The sequence below is a fragment of the Homo sapiens genome, chromosome 17, assembly GCF_000001405.40.
Source record: "Homo sapiens chromosome 17, GRCh38.p14 Primary Assembly".
NCBI classification, from domain to species: domain Eukaryota; kingdom Metazoa; phylum Chordata; class Mammalia; order Primates; family Hominidae; genus Homo; species Homo sapiens.
In genome coordinates, this window is record NC_000017.11 from 71,463,330 (window position 1) to 71,488,931 (window position 25,602).

At 37.7% G+C, this 25,602-nt stretch overlaps 6 annotated features.

Annotated features, from left to right (window-relative positions):
• Window positions 19,130-23,727: an enhancer, noted in NCBI's record as "a1 fragment used in the reporter construct". NCBI's record gives its function as "activates a beta-globin minimal promoter in COS-7 monkey kidney cells cotransfected with SF1 and SOX9 {active_cell/tissue: COS-7(+SF1 and SOX9)}" and the evidence as "EXISTENCE:reporter gene assay evidence [ECO:0000049][PMID:30552336]".
• Window positions 20,397-23,727: an enhancer, noted in NCBI's record as "a3 fragment used in the reporter construct". NCBI's record gives its function as "activates a beta-globin minimal promoter in COS-7 monkey kidney cells cotransfected with SF1 and SOX9 {active_cell/tissue: COS-7(+SF1 and SOX9)}" and the evidence as "EXISTENCE:reporter gene assay evidence [ECO:0000049][PMID:30552336]".
• Window positions 20,667-22,180: an enhancer, noted in NCBI's record as "eSR-A fragment used in reporter constructs". NCBI's record gives its function as "activates a beta-globin minimal promoter in COS-7 monkey kidney cells, HEK293T human embryonic kidney cells, and TM3 Leydig and TM4 Sertoli testicular cells cotransfected with SOX9 alone or with both SF1 and SOX9, and synergizes with the eSR-B/RevSex and eALDI enhancers in COS-7 cells cotransfected with SOX9 and SF1 {active_cell/tissue: COS-7(+SOX9 or +SF1 and SOX9) | HEK293T(+SOX9 or +SF1 and SOX9) | TM3(+SOX9 or +SF1 and SOX9, or +SF1 and SRY) | TM4(+SOX9 or +SF1 and SOX9)}" and the evidence as "EXISTENCE:reporter gene assay evidence [ECO:0000049][PMID:30552336]".
• Window positions 21,008-21,011: a transcriptional cis regulatory region, noted in NCBI's record as "SF1-a motif bases deleted in the eSR-A deltaSF1-a and eSR-A deltaSOX9/deltaSF1-a reporter constructs". NCBI's record gives its function as "important for eSR-A enhancer activity in COS-7 monkey kidney cells cotransfected with SF1 and SOX9 {active_cell/tissue: COS-7(+SF1 and SOX9)}" and the evidence as "EXISTENCE:site-directed mutagenesis evidence [ECO:0005528][PMID:30552336]".
• Window positions 21,289-21,888: an enhancer, noted in NCBI's record as "a5 fragment used in the reporter construct". NCBI's record gives its function as "activates a beta-globin minimal promoter in COS-7 monkey kidney cells cotransfected with SF1 and SOX9 {active_cell/tissue: COS-7(+SF1 and SOX9)}" and the evidence as "EXISTENCE:reporter gene assay evidence [ECO:0000049][PMID:30552336]".
• Window positions 21,472-21,475: a transcriptional cis regulatory region, noted in NCBI's record as "SOX9 motif bases mutated in the eSR-A deltaSOX9 and eSR-A deltaSOX9/deltaSF1-a reporter constructs". NCBI's record gives its function as "important for eSR-A enhancer activity in COS-7 monkey kidney cells cotransfected with SF1 and SOX9 {active_cell/tissue: COS-7(+SF1 and SOX9)}" and the evidence as "EXISTENCE:site-directed mutagenesis evidence [ECO:0005528][PMID:30552336]".

A 25,602-nucleotide genomic window follows, 5' to 3' on the forward strand; every position in this document is an offset into this window, starting at 1 on the left:
TAGCATGTCCCTTTCTGATGCGTATTTGGCTCTCAGAGTCAGGAAGCTCGGTGTTATGTCAGTGATGTTGGTTGTATAAACCATGGACACTCATTTCTACCTTCAAAACTGTTGGGCTTTTAGAAACATTGTATCACCCACGTAAAAATATTAGTCTCATTACTTTATAGTTGCAACTCGTTTTGGGATCCAAATGGCATTCCCCAACTGTAAAAGGTAATTGACTGCCGCCAAAGTCAAATCTGCCCTCAAATATTTAAACATTTAAGGAATGTGCTTCAGGCTCTAAGAGCAATTCTGAAAAAAAGGAGGTCCAAATGCTTATGAAAAATTGTATAAACTTTGAAAGGGACCAAGTCGAAGGTGAGAACAACCATGGGGGAGTGTACCTTTTTATATTTATTAAAATAACAAGATTTATTTACCTTTTAGTCCCATCTCATATTTCTTTTCATATCCTATTCTCCCTAAAAGACAAAAGGGACTCACGAACTAAGCACAACCATTAGTAGTCATCTACAAGACAGCCACAAATTATGTTTCTCCCTGCTCTGATCACTCTGGTCAACATTAAACTAGCTGCCGACGGATGAGAGACAGGAGGCGTGGAACTAAGTTTATCTCAGAGAAAAGACATCTATCCTCCACTGATCATCTCTGTAGGTCTCCACACATCAAGCTCTGCTTAAGGAAGCTACACAAGACCTTTGCCCTTGTATGGGCGAGGAAGATGGGGTACAAGGGTCGGGGGCATTGTTCATGAAGGAAGGTAAGTGATAGTTTCCTGCTCACCCCTTCGTTTTAGGGGTCAATCTCATATGTAGACGGCAAATGAAGTTTTTTCCAAGTCTGAAGTAAACAAACAGAGATGAGAGGTACCAGTGAACTTTTGTAAACAGACTAACTCCCTATTGCTTTGACTGTACGCATAACCTGATTTGATAAAATGCTGAAAAGAACACACTCTATCTTCCTTTTGCCTCTATCCAGAATAGACAAATTGGGGTGTTTTGAAAATGTTCATGCCTGGCCTTGTTACTCATAGCTTTACCTTCTCAGAGGTTAATGACAAAGTGATGTTCAGGCCAGTGACTCTGACCTCAAAATATGTTGCCATCATTAATAATGATTTGCAAAGAGTAGAACATCACAATTCGTGATGGAGGGCGTGATACAGGCACTTAGGTAAAGTGTACTCAGGGTGGAAAAACCTAGACTTGACTAATTACTGGCAAAGAGATGCTAGGAACTTGTCCATCTTTACTCATACAGTGGCACCCAACTGATTTCTGCCAAGCTGTGTGTTGCCCGAATTTGATCCCTGGTGATGCTAAAACACATAATACCTAAATACCTTCTGTTATCACTGGTGTCTCTAGAATCATGTTCCCTGAATGTATAAAAATCATTTCTACTCGAGACAACTTAAAAACCACATCGTAACTGGGACGTTTGGAATACAATACTTGCAGGAATGTAATATAGTTTTAGCACTTAAGGGAAACACGCACGTACTTTAAAAGGCCACCATTGGTTTAATCTGGATTTTCAAAAAACAGTTCATCCAAACAAGAGTTCTGTTTATACTTGGGGAGGCTCATTTGGCTTGTTCTGTTTTGCAAAGCACAGTGTTTCTGTAATATGTTTTGGTGGCATCATTTCAAATCAAAACAAGGAAAGGGGTTCTCAAAAATAAAACCAGAGGCCAGCCAAATACGGATTTGCTAAGTCAATTGGTTGTTTGCTTATTTATATTACACTTCTTTTTTCTCCCTCCTTTGGGAATCTGTATTAAAACACAAAACACACACACATACACACACACACCAATCTAGGCAGAGATTAGAACAGAAAGGAGCACCATGTCCTCTGGTTCTGGCTTCTGTGTTAATTTGAAAAAAGAGGTTTTTATCTATCTATCTATCTATCTATCTATCTATCTATCTATCTATCTATATCTATGCATGATTTTTATAGTTACAAATGAAAGTGGATAGATAGATGCTGGGTGAACATTTTAAGATGTAAAACAAAGATACTTTCACCAAGTCCCACCTGTTCAAACATGCGATCATTTTTTTTCCTTAGGGGAAAACCTCTGAAGCTGGTTTGCAATTGTTAAGCTAATCTGTAGCCTAGGGGAGAATAAAGCCACCAAAACCTTATAGAAATGAAGGAAATTACACAGAAATGCCCACCCCCAGATTTAACGTTCCACTTCCATGTGGTTTTGGAACACATGAGAAGTTTTAGTTGTACTTGGAAAGAAAAAAAAACACACACACCAACAACATTTGGAAGAAACATTGCTGTAAATATAGAGATCCTCTCAGTAGTGGGGGATGCCACTTATTCAGGTTGGCAGTAGCTGTGTTTTATTTAAAATATTTTTTCGCTTTACCAGATACTGGAAAAAAAAAAAAAAACCACACACACACAAAAGTGTATATCTCAGGCTGAGGATACCTGTAAGATGAGGATGTTCATGAAACATGTTCAAGTTCATTCATTTATCTATTTGACAATGATCTATGGACCACCTACTATGTACCAAGTCTTGGATAACAGAAGTGGTCAAGGTAGATGATGTCCATCTGCTCTTAGAACTCACATTCTAGAAGGCGCTTGCAGAAAATAAATATATTAACATATAGGCAAGACAATCCCAGATAGTAATATATTTTATTAATAGAATGAAACAGAGCAATGTAATACAGGAGAGAGACTAACTGAGGAGTGTAAGTGGCTGTTTTAGATCAAGTGGCCAGAGAAGGTCTCCCTGAGGAGATAGCATTTGACCTGAGACCTAAGTGCAAGCAAGATGAAGCCACCCAAGCTAATAACCTGCCAAGTGTCTGCTTGACGTAGGTTTAATTTCCCATTGCCTAACCCAATTTAAATCTCTGTCCTGTCGTTCCACCTCTTAATGGTCCAACAATCACATATCCTTCAACCTTATCCTCCACTCTGCTTCTTTAAAATTTCTCAGCTCCAATCCTAACTAGGGTTATTTGTTCATGGCCTTATGGTTTGCTTATAGAGATCTAACTCAATGAAAGCTCAATGGACTGTTTACTCCACCTCATTTTTTCTTTTTTTTTTTGAAATGGAGTGTTGCTCTGTTGCCAGGCTGGAATGCACTGGCGCAATCTCGGCTCACTACAACCTCCACCTCCCGAGTTCAAGCGATTCTCCTGCCTCAGCTTCCCGAGTACCTGGGACTACAGGCATGCACCACCATGCCCGGCTAATTTTTTTGCATTTTAGTAGAGACAGGGTTTCACCATGTTGGCCAGATGGTCTCGATCTCCTGATGTCATGATCTGCCCGCCTCGGCCTCCTGAAGTGCTGGGATTATAGGTGTGAGCTACCACACCTGGCCCTGCTCCACCCCATTTTTTAACGTCCAAACTCTCCCATCCTTCAAGAATCTTTGTAAATGGCACCTTCTCCATGGAGCTTTTTCCAAAACCACTTCAGTAATGTCCCTTTCCTTGAATTCCCATCCCAATATGAATATAACTTTTTCATCTCATTTTGTAATTTCTTCTTCTCCTGGTACCCTAGTTATTTATGCATGACACCTGTTTCCCCCACTTGAGTGTAAACCCTTTGAGAACAGCTCTTTTTGTCTTAACCATTAGTATTTCTTCCAGTTCCTTACTGAAAGTATTCCCCAATCCTCTATAAACACCTATGGCATAACCAAAGAATGAAAGCTAATCTATAAACACAAAACAAAAAAAAAGGTGAGGGTTTTGGGTGTGTGTGTGTGTGTGTGTGTGTGTGTGTGTGTTTAATTATCATTATTGTATAATCACAGTTTAAAAGGAATCATTTTCTGCTTCCTTTTTATTATATTTGCCTTCTTCACTCAATGTTTGGGTCAATCAATTGGCATTCAGTGTTAATGTGGCCAAGTTTTCTGTTTGGTGCTGAAAAGAACAACTTTGCCTGTGAGAGAGGAAATGATTTCCAGCCATAACTCCAGCTAGGTACTTACCAGGTGGTCTATTTCTACTCATGGAGGAGGTTGAAACACATATCCTATTTACCAAAGTCAAAAGCAGCATCTTTATAGGGAAATAACAATAATATGTGTCTTGGTTTGCTTGACTTCTCATTGATAACCTTGCTGAAGAAGATTCTTAAGTTATGTTCCCATTCATTATCTACATTTCTTAACATGATGTAAAGTCATAGAAAATAAAAACAAAAGGTACCTGAGGGATCTTTTTGAAGATGAATTTGAAGCTTGGAGAGATAAGATGATTAGCTCAGGGTTTCATCAATAGATCCAAGACTAGCAACCAAGACTCCCAACTCTAAACACAGCATGTTTTGATACCACATTGCCTTGTTCTCCACCATATAATAATTTTAAATGGGAAGAGTTTTCATTTTTTCTGTCATACTATCATTTAAGAATTTTAGACAAATTGTTTCTGGGGGAAAAACAATCCCTTAATTACTATAATATGCAAATAGAAAAAATCCTTAAAAAAATGAAACAAAAACCCTACTGATGAAGTGTCATACCAGTTGCATCATTTCTGGCTCTGGGCCACCCAAAACAGAGCAGGTAGGTAGTGTTTATCTCCTTATGTTTCAAAATAACTGACTTTCAGGAAGAACTGAAACTGAAATTGTTCCCAACATCACTCAAAGGGAACTGGGTGCAACGAGGCGCTATGGGAAAGTGAAAAGAAAGAAAGAAAGGAAAAATCCACATTGATGCATAGTGTAGCCAGGAGTAGAACATTGATCTGGAGGACTTGCCTGTTCCAGCAATAACAAGAGTTGACATTTGTTACATGTTGATTACACGGTATTGTCTTTTGGAGGTTAAATCAATCAGAAATTTCCTGTACAGCTAATAAAATTGGAACCCATCTGTGGTTTGCCAAGTCACGTTAGACATTGTCTCAGGACACAGTAAGAATACTTGGGCTTTAATATGTTCTGGGCAGAAGAAATAAGAAACCACTTCTTTAATTGAGTTAGAGTTGTTAGTGCTGTCTTCTAGTAAAGTGTTCGATGTAATAAAAAGTATTATTATAACTCCCATTTATTGAAAGCGTATTGTGTAGCAGGTACTTTTCTAAACACTTCACTATAGAATCTTAGTTTCTTGAAACTAAACCTGATGCAGTAAGTGTTATTATCTCCATTTTAAAGAAGCAGAAACTAGATTTCAGAGAGGTTAATCAAGTTTCTGAGGTCACACAGCTAGTAAACACTGTATTTGGAACTTGAACTCAAATATCAAAATCCCAGCTTGTATCCAATAAACTCCAGTGTATGTAGTAAGTGTTCGCCTAATACATGATTCAACTGAACACTAGTAAGACTTATTTGAAAAGCAAAATCTTGTAGTATCCACTAAAAATGTTTATTTAATTGGACTATTTTGTTTTATAAAAAAGTTCTTTTAAGGAGTAAAATTGTTTTGAATGTTTAAACCAAGTACCTCCTAAAACATTTGGCTGTTTTCTATTTTGAAATAATTCTCAGGCAATGGATACCATGTGACAGATTAGATGAGCCTCAAGGATTTTAACTACATTTAACTCAGTGCTAAGACTAGTTTGAATAAAATAACCAGCAAATGAATAACTCATTTTAAGTTGATTCCTATTTATATCGGCTTTCAAGGACTATCACATGAAAACCAATTCAGAGCTTCACAGATTCATATTTTTAACGATTTTAAAATGCAACTCTTTCAAGAAGTTTCTGCTGATTCCTTGTACCAAAGGCCATGCTTCTTCACTGTTAGGTTATCCAGCCTCAGTGTATTCAGTTTGAACCACATTTATATTCACATTTGAGTTACTACTTTGGGAATGCATTTTATACAGGTAGATTTTGTGGGTTTTTTTTTTTTTTTTTTTGGTGGGTGGATAAGATTTTTCCCTCAATTTGCTTAAAACCCATTTCTAAACTTCATTCAATCTCAGATGTCATTGATTTGTTAAAACATATCATTAATTAATTTCGGACTAAAACTTTTTTTAAAGGCCAACAACCAATTTATTGAACAATGTTTCATAACCACTTGAACTATTAGACTTATTCCATTTCTACAGATGTTAAAATGTAAAAATTAAGTACATTCTAGAACCCATGAAATATATTTACATATTTTTTTCTGACACTTGTAGGTACTGAATTCATATTTGGATTAGCTAACTGGTTATGGTGGGACTAGAAAATGTTTAATGCCGCTGGATTAAAAAAATTCTATACCACTTTAATCAATAAGCTGATTATGAAGGTGGAAATATGTGGCATGTTTTCAGAACATAGAATTGTTTTTATTTTCCAAAAGTGAGGCTACGAAGGTTCTTGTCAGCTCTGTTCATTCTGCTGACTACCTCAGTTAAACAGCAGGTCAAATTGCCCAATAAACTTATAGAATTTTTGTCTTTACTTCATTTTATTTACTTATGTTTATTTTACATTTTCAAGGCTTCTAATGCTAATCAGGCCTTAGAAATCAGTGGAAATGCTCTATGAAATAATTGTCTCATAGCTACAAAAGCTAACTGTCCCATTTTGGTAAGATCAGCCAAATTAGTTTGCTTCCTTTTCACACCCTGGTGTCCTCAAGAAATTCTTGTAGAGGAGACATATTGACATATTGCCAACTCCTTCTCATATTTTGTAGATCTGGTCCCCCTATGAATCAGCCACAACTCACTTTCTTAAATTTCCTTAAGGCCCATACTGGCTTGGCCCATTTTGCCTCCCGTGTGAGAATTAGCTTCTAGCTATCCTAGTGCTGTAGAGGCCCTTTAATTGGCTGCCTGATAAATGACACACTGTATTCTTTTTATTGGGATAATTCCCAGGCAACTGATTGGATACAGAGAAATGACAGTTACCGGAGGATTGCTGGCTGGGCTGCAGTCTTGCTTATTAACCAACACAGGTGGGACTGGTATTTGTCAGCCTGAATTTCCTTCTGCATTTGTCTTTGTTACTGTAAGGCAGACCTCTGGCTCACATCAAGATGTTGGAAGTGAATTCTTACATATGTACTCAGCCTGAAATTTGACTTTCCTCTGAGGCCATGTCAATACGGTCAATACAAAGGAGAGAATTCAGCAACTTATCCAAAGGACTCAAGGCCCCAAGACTGGGAATGGAGGAAAATTAAGTTTAGAACAATGAAGAGAGACGATTTAATTATGTAAGTTTTCAGATATCTAGGCATATGTAAATTCCAAGGTCAAAGCAACTTCTCGGGAGAATTGTGTCCCTACCCTAGACAATGCTGCAGAATTAGTCCCATCTTTATGTTTCCTTTAATGTCACGTGGGTGGAAAGAATGGTTTCTTCTTCCTATAAGGAAAGTAGAAATTGCTTAGCTAGAGTGAGGGGGTTTGCCTGTCTACTTACAGAGATATTAAACCAAGCCCACTTTCCCCCTATTTCTTTTTTTCTTTTTCTTTCTTTTTTTTTTTGAGACAAAGTCTTGCTCTGCTGCTCAGGCTGGAGTGCAGTGGCGCGATCTTGGCTCACTGCAACCTCCACCTCCCGGGTTCAACCAATTCTCCTGCCTCAGCCTCCTGAATAGCTGAGATTACAGGCATGTGTCTCGCCTGGCTAATTTTGTATTTTTTAGTGAAAGACAGGGTTTCACCATGTTGGTCAGGCTGGTCTCGAACTCCTGACCTCGTGATCTGCCCGCCTCTGCCTCCCAAAGTTCTGGAATTACAGGCATGTGCCACCGCACCCAGCCCCCTATTTCTAAGCATGAAATAATTTGAAAGATTATATTGCTGTACATGATGCACCATTCTTAGACTTTTTTTCCAAGCCTATCATATGCAGTTTGCCTCCAGCAATTGACAACATCAGTTTTACATGCAGGCATGGACAGCTACAATTTGGCAGGAAGGTTGAAGTGACCTTTTATATTTTTTTCTCATTGGAAGGGGGTCAACTTTGAGCTACATCTATAGTTCCCTTTAAACCATGCACCGTGTGGGCTGGCCTTGACGGGATCTGAGCCAGCCCAATGTAACATCTTCCATTAATGCGCCTAACTACTCTGGGGTCTTCCTCCTGTTCTGTGTGTCATAATAACACACCATGCCTCCAGCACCTTGTCAAATGTTCTTTCCTAATTTAGAAGTGTTTTATCATTCCAGGGAGGCAAAAAATTATTGTGAGAACGAATGTTAAATTATACATTCAAGAAAACATATTCCTAAGGAAAACCAGGGAATGGGCCAAATTTGACTGAAGCCCACTCAAAAATATTTTTGTGCTTCAGTTACTCTTTCTTCCAACACTTAATTTTTTCCATTTCTCCAGAATGCCCCTGATTTTATTTAACTAGTCAGAATTTTTAAATTGTAGCACCTTGTCTGGGCTGCTGTCTTTCAATGTTACTTAAGCTGCAAAATTCTTTCCTTGTTGCTTCTTTGTCTCATCTGACTCTCCCTCTAATCAGATTTCAAATTACTTTACAGCATAGAGGTAGAACAGCAATCTGATTAATTAATCTATTATGTTACATTAAAATGATAATTCATGAGTTGAATCATGTTATTTCTTTCTTTTTCTTTTCTTTTTCTTTTTTTTTTTTTTAAGACAGAGTCTCATTCTGTAGCTCAGAGCTGGAGTGCAGTGTCATGATCTCAGCTCACTGCAACATCTGCCTCCTGGGCTCAAGAGATTCTGGTGTCTCAGCCTCCTGAGTAGCTGGGATTACAGGTGTTCACCACCATGCCCAGCTAATTTTTGTAGTTTTAGTGGAGACAGAGTTTTGCAATATTGGCTGGGCTGGTCTCTAACTCTTGACCTCAGGTGATCCACCCACCTTGGCCTCCTAAAATGCTGGGATTACAGTCGTGAGCCACCACGCCCGGACAGTTCATGTTATTTCATTTCCTCATCTTTCTGAAATCATTTTATTTCCTCTATTCTATTTAATTTTTCCAGCCATCATAAATGTTAATTCAAATTTTCTTTTCCCTGACCCTCCCACCCACCCCAGCACACTGTGAGCTCCCACTTCCTGCTCTATTTTATCCTGTCACAAATTTGTAGTACTTTAATTAAGTGGTGCTACCAACTTTATACTTAATGCTCTTCTCTTTTACATGATTTTTTTCTCTCCAACTATTACAAATTATGTTATACCTTCTTGGAAGACAGAGGTTATAGTAGTTAGTAAGAGCATAAGAAAAAGAGAAAGACCAATGATCTAATGTTTTCTCTACTATTTACTGACTGTGTGATTCTGAATATGTTTGTCTTTTCAGAATTGCTTTCACATTCTCTAAAAAATGGGAATAATAAAACACCTCTTAGGTGGTATAGTGAGTAACTACATAAGGCACTAAATAGAATTTCCTTAGTCTACAGCCTGACATGTACCCTGTGCAGTAAGTATGAACTCCCTTATAGTAGGTGGGTGCAAAAGTAATTGTGGTTTTTGCCTAACTATATGTTTTTATTCTCAGTACTTGCCTCTATGCTTCACTTTCAGCAACTCATAACTCTTTGTTGATTGACGTTGATGCAATCATCAGTTTATCCTATCTTTTGTCTCTCCCTAAAAATTGGTTTATCTTCAAAAGATAGCCTGATGCTCAGTAAGTCAGTCAAGCTCTTTACAGGGAAGCATGTGATATTAACTTGAGGAGCTGCTACAGACATTGCGTAGTATACAGAAGCAGATCAGCAGAGGTCACTGTATAAATCCTGCCAACCAAGGTAGAAATTCAGCCACCATAAACAGCTATTTTGGAATGGAAAGGCTAGAGAAACAGCATGCAGTTAAAAATTAATAGTGTGCTATAAACTTTTCCTTTAAATAATAAATTGATTTTGGATTTGATAGAGTTAGAGTCCCTGTAAGACATCTGATGAAACAGTTCCAAGTGTGAGCCAGTGGAGGCACACATCAGAGGCAGGAGGACTCTGTGGCTTCTCTCAACGCTCATGCATTCCCTCCTTTCCTATCTGCGGGGCTAGGAATGAGCATTATTTTTTTGTTTGGGGTAGTTGCACTTCGGTAGGTTTTTCTACAAGCTACCCCTAGAGGGTGCAATAACCCTCTCCCTCTTACGTTCTCAGCTAGAGACCAGGGGCATGTGTACTGTTGGAAAGTTAATCTGTTCAAAGTAACAGCCAGACCCAAGTGACTCAAAATTTAATTGCAAATAATTTGGACCCAATTTTCAGCCGATTAGCCTTATAACCTGACAGTTATAAAGTGCCTACTATGTGTACATCTTCTTCTGTTTGCACAATTTTCCAATTAGACATAAGAAACATTAAATTGAGCTCCATTCCTCAATTATTAAAAGTTGACCTCTATATTTCTAGGTCAACTAGAATAGTAATTTTAAAATCTGATATTTTATTTATAAGAAGAGTGCTTTGTCTCATTTCCTACAAAAAAGAATGTTAAAAAAATGAACCCCTATTTAGTAAGTATAACTTTTAAATTTGAATGTAGAGTGTCCTAATTTGCTGAAATAAATTTTTATATTACCACTTTATATATAGATTAAAATTGCATCTTTAATTTTTTTTACTCAGACATCGATTAGAAATATAAATGTTTCTTGTTCAATACTTATACTTACTAAAACTGAGTTTGAGGAAATGTCCTCTCTAAGCCTTAGTTTTCTTAATTATAAAATAGGAGATAATATTTGCACATCTGGCACATGGCTGCTCTAAGGGTGAAGTGAGACCATCCATATGAAACACTTAGAACAATGCCTATCATATAGTAAGCACTCAATAAATACCAGCTATTAAGAAGGATACATAATTTTGTGTTACAATATTCTATAATCTTTAATAAATCACAGCTTTGTTACAAAGAGGCATATCACATAATTCTATCTAGTCATATCTGATACTATTCTAATAATTTAGATGTCATTTATTGACTATAGACATATATATGTAATGCACATAAAGAATGATTTGAGACACAAGTCAGAGTGGTTGCTGGTAGGAAAACACACACGCACAAACACACAAATTTCACTTAGTCAATTTGAATTGTGTCAGTCAATGACTTAGAACTGGGAAATTGTAGAGCTTCTTACATTTCAGTAACACCAGTGCCAATCTGTTTGTGCCATTTTAAAATGTTTTGAGCAAAATGTATTTTGTATCTTGGCAATTATGTTATTTGAATCCAGAGTACCCACTCATAAAAGCATGATCAAGTAGGGCAATAAAGATTGGAAGGATAAAAGAGATTCGATATCTTACAAGTGTCCTCTTGCAATCCACCTTCCTTTTACAGAACTAAATTTGTCTTAGAGATACTGCCAATTATCTTAAAAAAACTGTACTCCGCACCTATTGTCACCTTCTTCACTCAATAGAAAACAAGGGGCATCTGAATTAACAAAACGGAAACTCTGAAAAAGTTCCAAACGGCTTCCTCAAATGTAGCACCTTTACCCTCAGAATGTGAAGTTGACAGGTTAGGCACTGACTTAGGAATTTGCTTTTAGGTGCTGGAGATCCCCGTGACCAAATAAATCTTGCCTCACCTACTAACTGATGCTTAAAACTCCACTTTAGCAAACTCTTTCCTTTTCTTGCAGGTTTTTATCTGTGTGAGGAATATAGCTTCATGATATCATCATAACTTTATGATTTCAATCATTTAAAATCTAACACAACTGAAGAACTCGATGACTTATTAGTAAAATGGTAAGATAGAGTATTCAAAGGCACTGGTTCTCTGATAAAAAGAAGAGCGTTAGGCCAGGTGCGGATCACACCTGTAATCCCAGCACTTTGGAAGGCCAAGGCGGGCAGATGACTTGAGGTCAGGAGTTCGAGACCAGCCCCGCCAACAGGGTGAAACCATGTCTCTACTGAAAATATAGAAAAATTAGCTGGGTGTGGTGGCACACACATGTAATCCCAGCTACTCAGGAGGCTGAGGGAGGAGAACTGCTTGGACCTGAGCAACAAAGGGTGCAGTGAGCCAAAATCATGCCACTGCACTCCAGCCTGGGTGAGAGTGAGACTCTGCCAAAAAAAAAAAAAATTAATTAATTAAAAAAAATTAATTAAAAAAAATATATATATAGAGAGAGAGAGAGAGGAAGAGAGTAAACCAGTCTAGAAAAAAGACCTCCAACTCAAAGCCAACATTATGAGGACATAATACCAATTCCTTTCAAGTTTTGTTAACTCTTCCTAGGTGAATGGGTGAGACTGCATGTCTGGTTTCTAATTGTGTCTGTGCAATTTTGCTTCCCAGATGATGGCTATGTAGGGTCTTGTTTGCTGGCTTGGTCTCCTTCTATTTTCAATCTGTACCATTGTTTTAGCTTCTGCAGTATAAATACATATCTAAAGGCACATGTGTGTATGCTGCCCCGCTTTTCTGTGGGTGTTTAGTGCAAGGCATACGTGATTTGTGGCTTTGGCGGCCTGATTTGGGTTTTGCCCTTGAGAAAAAACTCTGGTTCTGATGTGTGTATATAGCAAATGAAGCATACTAATGGCATAATTGGTACACGGTGGATCATGCTGTAACCCCGGATTGCACGGATACCTCAACAGTGAGCTGACTTAGGAACAGCACGTTGCACTTTGCCTTCCGTAACCTCCCCGAGTGTGCCCTTCCAGGTGAGTTGCATGGAGCTGGGGATTGTCCAGGTTCTTGACAGTAGGTTTTGTTTCAAGCAAATGTAATATGCTTACATAATAAACATTTTATGTGACACCTGAAATAAAATTGATTATCCTGGGGATTATCTTTGCCAGTCTCTGCCCCTTCCCAAGAGTACTGCTATATCAAAGCAAGGAGAGGCTTTGAAAGGTGTGAGAATATCCACTTCATCCATTCCATTGCATCAAAAGCCCCTTTGTCAGTTGGAATCGCTAGATAACATATAACATTGTTCCACTTAAGCATAAGCCAGAAAGTGACGTATGAAGGGTACTTTCAGATGTCCCGGTTAAAACATTAACTTGAGCTGAGATGAGTAGAGAGTCTTTTGGACCAAGGTATGAATATCTGGAAGGCAAAGAAATTTTTCCTGGACTATATTACACCAAAATAACTAGTTCCATATAGGAGAGGAATTCTAGTATCTTACAAGTGATGAGTGCATTTTGCATATCTTAGTCAACAGAGACTCTGGGTGAGAAAAGCAGGTGTTCTTCTAAAATATTTTGCTTCCAGAAAAACTGTCTTCCTGGGCACACTGGGAGGGCTTGCTCACTCCACAGGGCCCTGACAGTCTGATCTGATCAAATAGGGCACTGGAAAGAATTTGGCAAAACGTTATTCTGATGGATTGGTGTCATAATCCCATCACCTGTTTAGCAGTTAATTTCACTGTTCCAGTCTTCCTAGTAATATTACCTAAGGAATATGTTATTCCATTTCCCAAAGTCGTTACATTTTTCATTGTCACCTGGAAATCCACACGTTAAAAACTGCTTAAATCGGCTGGGCGCGGTGGCTCATGCCTGTAATCCCAGCACTTTGGGAGGCCGAGGCCATCAGATTACGAGGTCAGGAGATCGAGACCATCCTGGCTAACACGGTGAAACCCCGTCTCTACTAAAAATACAAAAAATTAGCCAGGCGTGGCGGCAGGCGCCTGTAGTCCCAGCTACTCGGGAGGCTGAGGCAGGAGAATGGCGTGAACCCAGGAGGCGGAGCTTGCAGTGAGCCAAGATCGCGCCACTGCACTCCAGCTTGGGTGACAGAGCGAGACTCCGTCTCAAAAAAAAAAAAAAAAACAAAAACAAAAACAAAAAAAACTGCTTAAATCCCAAGGGAAAACTGGCATTGAACTGAATGGTTTTCATTTTTCCAATTTATTTTTTCGGTCACTGCCTACAGAAGTTTTGAGTTTAAGTGAACATTGCCAAAAAAAAATGTGCAGATGCTCAAATCTTTGCAGGATTTATAATATTATATAGGGACTGTTTTATAGCCCATTACACTAAAATGAGTTGGATTTATTACATGCCAAACAACAACAACAAAAATCACAAGTTGGAGAATAATTAACTGGAATAGACATTTTTTTTATCCTTCTACTAGCAAAAAAAAAAAAAAATTGTAATTTTATGCTCCAGAAAAACTCATTCTTAAATTTTATATCTGAGTTTGCTTTGCCAAACTCATATTGTTTTTAAATAAATGATAAAACGTACTCTTGAGGCCTCCATCCTACAAAGGACTTGAGAAGTGCCGTTAATATGAGTCTGCTGTTCATGTTTGTTCTTGTGTATTTTTGTAAGCTACAGAACAAAATGGGCTGGCCATTTTTTTAATGCCCATTATTACCTCCAATCTTTCTTTTTGTCCACTCTTTATCAAAATTCTCCTTCTGAGACAGGTTTTATGGTACACATTCCAAAGTAGACAACAAATAAGTTGTTGCACTTTAAGAGCTAGCATTTGAAAGAGCAGTATATAACATCCAGCTTCCAGACCGTATCCTTGGCCCCAAGCAGGAGGCAGAAAATGTTCCTATGGTCTGAGCACTCATCTGAAAGGCTTGTGACACTCTGTGCTCCTAGTAAAAAGTAGCGGCTCCAGGCCGGGCGTGGTAGCTCACGCTTGTAATCCCAGCACTTTGGGAGGTGGAGGAGGGCGGATCTAAAGGTCAAGAGATTGAGACCATCCTGGACAACGTGGTAAAACCCCTTCTCTACTAAAAATACAAAAATTAGCTGGGCATGGTGGCACGCACCTGTAGTCCCAGCTACTCTGGAGGCTGAGGCAGTAGAATCACTTGAACCCAGGAGGCAGAAGTTGCAGTGAGCTGAGATCATGCCACTGCACTCCAGCCTGGCGACGGAGTGAGACTCCATCTCAAAAAAAAAAAAAAAAAAAAAAAAAAAAGTAGCTGCTCCATTCTTCTTTCTCCTATCACAGCTCAATGATACCATTATAACGTCATGCTTCCCTTTAGGGATCATGTATTCTAAGAGCACCGATGGCTTATTATTACTCTTTCCATAGACCACACAGTTCCTCCCTGAAGGCTCTATCCACAGTTACAATGCCCACAAACCCCATCACTATTGGAAAACTCTGAATCATCAAACACTCCTTACTATTATGTATCAAGAGTGCCTTTTTCTTAAACAATAGTAAAAAGAAAAAAAAATGCAAGTATTTTACAATGTTATTTTGTTAATAAGCCCAGTTATGGTTAAATTCAAGATATAAGTGTCACAGAAGGAGGTGGTTGAAGCATCCCCCAAAGGCACAACACGCACCCGCCCCCCAACACACACACATACAATGATACAGGGTGAATTTCTTCCAGCACTTTCCTTTTTTCATACGTCTGGAATTCTCCTTACCATGAGTGGTAAAATTTCAGGAAAATTCAGAAACAGTATTTTAGTATTACATAATGAATTTTCAATTTTCCAGTTACAGATATTTTAACCACCTCCATTACTAATGTGTGGTCTGCAGGTATGTGTCAGCAAGTTGGTATCTCAGAGTAGCTGTCTTGTCTCAGAGTGACCCCAGACATGAAAAGCATTGGGAAAAGGGACACAGGTCTGAACTCTGGGCTTGAGATGTTATATCAGATATTATTTTCTGCTTACATTTTTATAGTAGAAGATTGATTATCATTTGCCCAGATTTTATCTATATCTATAAATTGGCAATGGCTTTTTTAGTTATACAATTCTATTTTACTAAGGAAAGCACCTAATAATGCTACTGAAAATAATTTAACCAAGATGTCACCATTTGTGAGCAAGCAAACTCTCCCTTTCTTCTATTCATTTAGTCAGTTAATTTATTTAATTTATTCCTCTCCTTGGAATAGAATATAAAAATTCAACATTGCTTGTTTCCTACTAAGTGCTTGACTGTATATGAGGTTCAAGGAAACAGTCAGTATTAAAGGGGATTAAAGAATTGGGGCTGAAGGAAGCGGGGAAGATGTCTCTTCTCTCAGAAACAGAGTGGAAATAAGCCATCATTCTCAGCAAACTAACACAGGAACAGAAAACCAAACACTGCATGTTCCCACTTATAAGTGTGAAATGAACAATGAGAACACATGGACACAGGGAGGGGAACATCACACACTGGGGCCTTTCGGGGGGTGGGGGGAAAGGGAAGGGATAGCATTAGGACAAATACCTAATGCATATAGGGCTTAAAACCTAGATGACGAGTTGATAGGTGCAGCAAACCACCATGGCACATGTATACCTATGTAACAAACCTGTACGTTCTGCACATGTAGCCCAGAACTTAAAATAAAATTAAAAATAAAATAGTTTCGAAAAGAATATGCACATATCTTATGTGCAAAGAATATTTGACCAAGCACTGAGAGTTGCTAATCACCTTCAACACCCCTGCCTCCTGGGTACTTGGTAAAGCTTAGTGAAATAACATATTTATGTTGAAATAACTTTTGGTATCAAAAGAATAAGACATTAATTTGAGATAACATTTTGCTGAAACTACGTTATGTACCTCTTTGGATGAAAATTACTGAAATAAAAAAAAAAAAACTCTAACAAAATTAATACGAAGATTTTTTTTCTTTTATTTTTTTTTCAGACAGACTCTCGCTCTGTTGCCCAGGCTGGAGTGCAGTGGCGAGATCTCAGCTCACTGCAACCCCCGCCTCCCAGGTTTAAGCGATTCTCCTGCCCCAGCCCACTGATTAGCTGGAAATATACCAAGACTTTTTAAAATTCTTTTTGGCATTAATTATTGAGGAAACAGGATCAAGCTATTGTTTCTGCTGGCAACATACACACATCTTATGACTAGAGGTGAACTTAATCAATTCAGGTAACCAATTTGTTAAAGATTTGTTACACAAACCTATGTCCTATGTAGAGATTGACGGCACAGTAGAGTTCAAAGAGCTGATCATATAGCTTCATCACAGACATGAAACAGGCCTGACTGCATGAAATACAATGTCACATAGTCCAGTCCTGAAACAGTAGTTGCCAGCTTCCCACGTGCAGGTTCAAGTTTCTGAGATAGAGTATAGTCTCAATGTTAAAATAACAATTGTAATGATTAACAACCTCTAGGTAGTGGTGTGGACGTCTTTCTACATACACATACAGGATATTAACCTTCACACTTCAAACCAGTCCAGCAAGCACAAACAATACATTGAGGGAAGGAGAATTATTGGGAAAATAGATCCGCATAGGAGGTTGGCAGCAGCCTCAGAGAAAATGGCTTGTTGTAAATACTAAGTCATGAATGCCACCGTTTCTGTATCATTATGCTCTATTTCTGGTGACCTCTACATAGTCTGAGAAAATGCTGACCAGAATAGGTGCTCGTAGGATGTAAGTCATAATGTGCTACAAGGTAGAAATTATTAACAAAATCATGCTTTTTCTGGTCATTTCTCAAGATGTTTGCACCCTACCCAGGTACGGTGGCTCACGCCTGTAATCCCAGAACTTTGGGAGGCTGAGGCAGGTGAATCACTTGAGCTCAGGAGTTCGAGACCAACCTGGCCAACATGGTGAAACCCCATCTCTACTAAAAATACAAAAAAAAAAAAAAAAAATAGCTGGGCATAGTGGCGGGCGCCTGTAATCCCAGCTACTTGGGAGGCTGAGGCAGAGAATTGCTGGAACCCAGGAGGCAGAGGTTGCAGTGAGCTGAGATCTCTCCATTGCACTCCAGCCTGGGTGAGAAGAGTGAGACTCTGTCTCAAAAAACAAAACAAAACAAAACAAAAAAAAACCCCACCCTGGTCAGAGGTCTCTTAGTCTCCTTGGTTATTGCTGGGCTACATATAAAGAAAAATTTTCCCTTTAAAGTAATCCAACCTTTCTGAAAAGCCAACCCTCAAACTCATTCATATAATAAACATTATGCTGTTTAATCCTTTCTGGTATTTAATGCCCAAAATTTATTTACTTACTGAAAAGAGCAACATAAAACAATCTAATTAACAATACCTGGTAAAATACTTTAAGGCTGGTGACGCTTTTCTTACCCTCCTTTTTTTTTTTTCTCATGATAGCAATTACAAATGAGCTTGAGATAGACCAAAGTTGTAATCATTTCTTGTTAGTTTGTTTGTTCTGTCTTCAAATGGCAAATAAAACTGGAAAAATGCTTAAACTTAGATACTGTAAAGTTTTGCAGTTCATCCTATAGATCTTGCTATTTGATTTGGTTCTTTATTCTCAGAGGTGCCTTTCTCATGCAAAATGATCGATGGAAATGTGGCAATCTTGTATACACAGTGAATATGAGAGTGTGATTAGTTTTCATTAGAAGATCAATAGCTTCTTTAAATCTTCGAAACGTGTTTAGACTAGCCTACTTTATTAACTTGGCAATGGATTTTTTTTTAGCAGTCTTGAAGTAAACACATGATTTTTATAGTCTAGCAAAATTATATTGGAAATGCAACCAGGAATACTTGAAGTGACATAAGCACAAAAGAGTATTATATTTAAAATCTTTATCAAATGTTTAACAAATCACTTAATAAAATTTCAGTATTTCAGCACAATGACAAATATATATTCCATACTAAAGCCTTGTAACTATTAATAAGTAAAAACCAAATTGGCTGTGAGATTCCTAGGGATGAGTTTAACACAGGGTTTCTCAACCCAGGCACTAACAACAGTCTGAGGCAAATAATTCTATGTTGTAAAGGTTGTCCTTGCACTTTAAGAAGTTTAGCATCCAGCCTGGTCTCTACTCACTCATTACCAATGGTGTCTCTTACTCCCACCCCGAGCTGTGGTAACCAAAAATGTCTCTAGTTGCAAAATATTCCCTCTGGGGCAAAAATCACTTGAAGCTGAGAACCACTGGTTCAGTATAATACAAAATAGGAGTTTTCATTTGTTTGTTTTTCTTAGTCTTTCATGATAGGTTTATAATTGTACCTAAGAAAGTATATGGGCTCTATCATTTCAAAATTACGGCGGTAAATATAAATGGCATTGAGTTTTTTTAACATGGGCTATTAGAATCAAATTGATAGAGAAAGTGCTAGATAAGGGAAGATACATAGTGGAAAAACCTTAAAGTAAGCTCAACACATTTTTAAGAAGGCTGGTGTTGAAGATCTTATCACACTTAGTAACAAGTGTGAACTACAAATTCTAAACATTGGTTTTGATGGTAGACCTCGTGGTACCCAAGGATGGGCTGCCAACCTCTTATCGAAGCAAATTTTAAGGGTACAGAGGCAGAATTCAGGTGATACTGAAACAACACAAACCAAACAAAAGTGCTAGTTTGGTAATTAATGGCTTCTGAGGGTTGGCTTGTAGGGAAATGGAGCTTGGTAGAGGATTATGGAAAAAAGCTAAGAAGATGCCTGGTGCTTTTGTACCCACTTGCTCATTAATAGGTAAATGAATTGAAGGCTGAGGGAAGAGAAGCTCATGTTCTTCTTGCATGCTTGACATTGCAACTACATTTTATAAATGTAATGTTATTGCAGATGAATGTGATCTCCTGTTCTTTTCTGGCCCAATGCCCAGCACGATGTTCTGCATAGAATCCAGTGCTCAATAAATGTTCAGTAATTATGGTAAACAGGAGAACCTAACTAACAACAGCATAATTTCCCATTTGAAGAATTCTAGATAGTAAATGCAATGTCCATGACAGTTAATAAAGCAATGTTTCATCAAATCCATGTGCTACTGATATTCAGAGATAGGATATGATCTCATTACCAAAAACAAAAATTAAAATAAAGAAAGAGGAAGAGGCAGAGACAGTGCTCTAACTCCCCTCCTCATGATTTACTCTAAGGAGAACATATCACTAACTTTGCAACAGCCAAATATTACTAGACTTCATCTTCACCTTTCTGAAATAAGAAATATTCACTAAACTTTTTTTTCATGCTAATGGAAATGGGAAACAAAAAGGTAGGCTCACAGTACCTACTATGGCAAGCTTGTATGCTTGCTAAAAGTTTTGGCTACTTGAAATTGGTTTATGTAAAACTAAAAATGGAGCCTGTGGATTGCAGGTTGGGATCCTAGACTTGCCCAGTGGCTTCCCAGAATGTAAGCTAGACACTGAGAACCAAGAAGAAACAGCATACCTAGCAGATGTATTACTAAGCTGGAGTTACTTCTGATAGTTAATTAGAAAAGATAATTTACAAGCAAAACATGGAAGACTGCATAGAAAGAAATTTCACAGGATTTCATATGTCCTTCAAGAACCAATGGTTCTCCTTTGCAATTAACAAAATATCCCAAATCCATACTATGATCTAGAAGGTCTGCATTCTTCCACCTCTTTTCCCAAAAGCTTTCCACTCTTTTCACTATTCTTCAGCCATTTCATCTTTCTTGCTACTTATCTTCCAGCTTCAAGACCCTGTGTTCACCATCTTTCTTCCTAGAAAGCTTCTGTCTTCAAATTTTCTACATCTAGTGCCCACTCATCATCATTCAGTGCTCTCCCAGCTCAAATATTACTGCTCAAAGGAAATTTCTTCACCTTCTCTTTCTAGCTAAAATTTTCACTAACTCTGATCAAAATTCCTTGTTGCTTACTTTGAACTCTATTATCTTGTTTTATTTTCTCCTAAAACATGTTGACATTATTTTAATATTTACTTGTTTACATATTTATTGCTAACCTCCTTTTGCTGGAATGTAAGGTCTACAGAGTAAGAATTTTTTTTCAATCTCATTGACCACTCAGAATTGTTTTTGATGCTACATGTTCTTGATCCTTAAAAGCAACTTGAAACCATAACTTTTGACTAGTGTGAAGAGAAGGAAAGATCTCTTATCTGTATTACTATTATTCCTCATTAAACTATTATCTGGGGTAACAATGAACAAGTAATATATGAAGAGAAAACTGTTTCTGATCAAGTAATACTAGTCTTGACTCATATAGATATAGCTTGAGTATTGCCCTCTCATGTTATGGCCTCAGGCCCAGGTGAGCCTCCCTCAAAGGCAACAGAACTATTACCCAGGGTTTTGATGAACAATGAAACTATTTTCACTTTTCTACAAGGGAAAGGGGCAATAGGGGAACTGAGTTTCAGTAACCTCTGAGCCACCATCATGAGAATTTGTGTAACCTACAAGAGGTCTCCCCTCCCTTCGTCCCTAAAAAATATGATTTAAGAAGTAGCTTCCCTTCACTTTGAACAGGAAGGACAACTAGGCAAAACCTAGCACATTTGAATCATTTTAGATGGTGAAGGGGAATAAAACAGTTGTGATATAATTAAAATGCTTTTGAAATTTCGACATTAAATATTTAAAAGTCAGCTCTAGAGGTACTTAATTTCATAGAAATAATCTGCTGTGTTGCAAAATTTTCAGAAGTGCTGCTAGTAAGCAGATGGGAGTATGAATTGAATCTCTAGCTGGGCCTCTGCAATTCACAAAGACCAATAGCAAAGTTTGTTGCAATTGCAGGCAGATAGCTGAGGAATTAGAAGGCCACATTGGCTTGTGAAAACAGACCACAACAATAAGAACTGTGATAAAAACTCTGAAAGAATCTTTATACTTCAAACTATATACTCTGAAATCAAGCACATTGCCTTCATGCCCAGACAAACATATCTTCAACAGAAGGGATTCTGGGGCTTGTGGGAGAAGAAGATAGTCAGTGAAAGAGAAATATATCAGAATGATGGTGTGGAATTGAAAGGGAAAACAATGTGAACAGCTGTAGGATCTGGCTTTACACAAGCAGCTGGAAGGGAGTGCAAGGATGTCTGAGAAGCTCTAGTATCTTCTAATCAGCCATGGGAGAGAGGGCAAGAACGTTATACATTCTCTGTGTGAATGAAGGCTTACGTCTTGATGAAAGCTTTGCCTCCATAAGGGCTTTCAACAAAAGATGAAGGGAAGCTAAGCAAACTGAAGACTCCAAGTTGAAATTTCAGTTGAATAATTTATTTCTCAGCAACATTTCATATTCAATTACTCTGTGTACAGCTAAATGATTGGGTTTCTGCCATTATACTAGTAATCAAAACTCTTCTTAGAACATTTTTCCTGACAGCTGTACTTCTCTACCAAAGGCTTCATCCCTGGAATATAGCAAATTAGTCAAATCAAATTAACAAGCATTTATTGAGTGACTCTAGCCCCCAAATTCCTGGAGAACTGAAGCCATCTCTCATTTTGTTTGTTAGTTTATTCTCACAGTAGGTAAGATGCAGTAGGCATTTATTATACAACTGTTGATTGAATGAACAAATGGATTAATTAATTTTCATTGCCAATCCATGTGCTTTCCAGATTTACATCTCCTTTAATTAGATGAATTTCCCTTTGTGGCTCTGGAGCTGTGACCACAGATACACATTAAAATTGAGGCAAGTCCATTTGGCAATTTCTCACTCTTTTTCAGTGGCATGTTTTTGCAGCTAAAAAGAAATTTAAAGGCGTCTGTCAAGAGCAGCGGCAATTGTTAGAGAACTTAGATGCACGGCATACCAAAAAGAAAAAAAAAAAAAAGCACTTCTAAGAAAGCTCTGACCTGAAAATATGGATGGATTCGCTGACCTGGTATTAAATTAACTAATGAGAAGTTCATCGGCATCTGGGCCCAAGCTATGGGTTAGGAGGAGGAGCACAATCACTCACTTAATTAATTACTTAATTAACCTTTAAGACCAGAACTTTTGGTGGGATTCTCCTGAGATTTAAAGAACTTTATTATTGTTATTATTATTTTTCAAAATGAAACTGGCTCTCGGTATGTGGTTACTCAAAAAGAAAGGGAAAATTTTTAGGATAGCCATGGGTATTTTTTAAAATGGTGCCCATTAAAGGTCATAATATTGATGCAATTTTCCAGGGCTGGTTTCAGTTTTCCCACGGAGTGGTAATTGGGTCATTGGGCCAGTCCTTCTCTTGACTGACCAGTATGGTTTCACCAGATCTGGATAAAAATAGTCTTTTGTAGGAATTGTTAGTCACTATCAGCTTTTCCCTGAGTTAATTTGCCTTTCCTTCAAGGTGCCAAAACCACCTCCCTGGAAACTTAAGTTTTCCATGTGTTCATAGAAGAAGGATACACTAATCCACCCTACCACAGTCTGAATGTTCTACAGTCCTGACTGAGCTGAACTAGCAGTAGATCATTTATTTTGTGGCCCTTGGACTCCAGAAGCAGCCAAAGGCTTGGCAAGCATTGTTTTTATGTGAACAGCCATCTCCTGGGAATAAGGAGATCTGCCTCCTGGTTGGTTGTTTCACTCCTGTTTTCTTTGATGAGTTATATTTCTTCACTTAAAGTTTAAAGAGCTCCTTTCTCAGGAGAGTTGCCTGAGGTCATACAGGAAGGTGACTGGGCCAGCTTCCAGTAAAGAAATGGTTATTCCTGAGAACACAGTCTGCGTAGATTGAATCCAATTGAATTGAAATCACCCCCACAAAGTTTTGTAGTGTAACAAGTCAAGGTAACTAATATCACTCCCTGCCATACAAATTGGTTGAGTTGTGGCAGAGTGCAGAGATTAGAGGGTTAGATGCTCCTCCTTCACATTGCTGTTGGTTCCCAATGTTCATCCAAATCTAGAAAAAATTAAATCTTTAATAGAAGGAACACAGGACCATACACCAGGGGACCCGGATTTTAGGTATGTCTAGTTTACTCCATTCATAGCACGAAGACTTTTAAGTTCCTAACATACACTAAGTGTTGAAATATCCCTTAGTGCTCCATCATCATATATAAAATGGCCAGATGTAAAGAACAAATAACGCAATTTTGCGCAATGGCTTTGCAAATTAAAACAGCAGTTCTCAAATTGGGGTCCATGGTGCCTAAGCCACTTTGAGTTGTCTGAGACATCAAAACGATACTTTATGATAACACAAACAGCGTTTGCCTTTCCCCTCTGTGTTAACATTTGTATTGATGGGACAAAAACAATACTGGCATCTTAAGTGTGAATCAAGTCAGTGGCATTAAAGATAGCCAATTTCATTTAAATCTTTAAGGAAGTAATAAGAATCATTAATTTTATTAAATCTGGATTTGGCATAGATGTATTTTTAAATAATCTATGTGATAAAATGGGAGGCACTTATAAAGTACTCTGACTACCTAAAGAGAGGGAAAAATACAGCTTTACAATTCTCTGAGTTGTCAGCTTAACTACTCACTTTTTAAATATAAACATCATTTTTACTTGAAAGAAAAGCTAACAAATTATGATTATTCAGAGTTGGGTATTTGGCAGACAATTTTTCAAAAATGAATGAAGTAAACCTGTCACTTCAAGGAAAACAACTGGTAGCATTTGTTGTGCATGATGAAATATAAGTTTCAAGCAAAAATGAGCATTTTGAAAAACTTGTTTCCATCACCATGGGCATGGTTTCCGAATATTTCAAGACTTTTTTGGCATGATTGGTGCTAAGATTAACAGAGGTGATTGTTTAATATAATGAAACCTGTCCATGTTCAGAAGATACACATAACTTAGTGAATTATTATTCTTCAAATAACTGATGCAGGATGTTACAAAATCATGCAAGGCTAAAAGACCCATCTGATAGATTTTTAATGTAACAGAGTACAAAAAGCCCACTGACACTATTTCACACTCCACATCCCAACTAAACTTTAAAGATACTAACTTTGAGGGAGTTTTGGTATAACATCAAAGAAGAAATATCCAGAATCATCTGACAGAGTATTAAATTATTCTTCCCTTTACAAATTCACATATTTATACATCCATATTTTCTTTCTATAATTCAACCGAAACAAACTGTAGACACAGAAACATTTCAGAAGCAGACATGAGAATTCAGTTTTCTTCTTTTAAACTAGACATTAAAGTGGAAAATAATGCCATCTTCTCTCTCTTTTAAAAAAATAGTCATTTTTCATTAAAAATACATTAGTCTTCCATGTAAATATTTCTGTTGTAAGTGTATTAATAATTTTAAAAAATTACTCACTTTTAATTTCTAATGTAATACATATTATACTAGACAGCACCTCAATAAACAAAAAGCCCTCGGGTCACAGTGGTTTTTCAGAGAGTAAGGGGGCTTGGAGGCCAAAATGTTTGAGAAACACTGCTTTAATATGATGTACTTCTGCTTCTACTCCATGTTGGTGTTAATAACAGAACTTAAAGGAAGATACTGAAGGATCCAGATACTCTAATCTTTTCTGCTCTCTGGGATCTTCTGGAGGATATCTGTCCAGGTACTCAGAGCTGTTGCACTAGTTCATGATTTATCAGGTTCACCACTTAATCAGGTTTGGACCTCGTAATAAAAATTAGAATTATTGGTCATCTGTTTTCAAAATCTTGTATTAACTGATTTTCCCAGTTTCAAGTGGATTATCATCCCATTTTTTTAATCCAGTTTGTTTCTTCATAACAAATACATATTGTTTTGTAAAGGGCAAGGGATATTCACTGTAATCCATCAAAACCAAAGCCAGTTTACCTTGACAGCTACTGAGGTGATCACTTTTGTTAGGAGTGCTTTCTTCTACTTCTGAAAAGCTTTCCTCTTTGGAAGCCATCAAATTGTCCCCAAGCAATGATGTGTACATCTTAAACATTAGAGCTTCAGGATGTTCTGAGAAGATTTATATTCACAGTGTTGCATGTT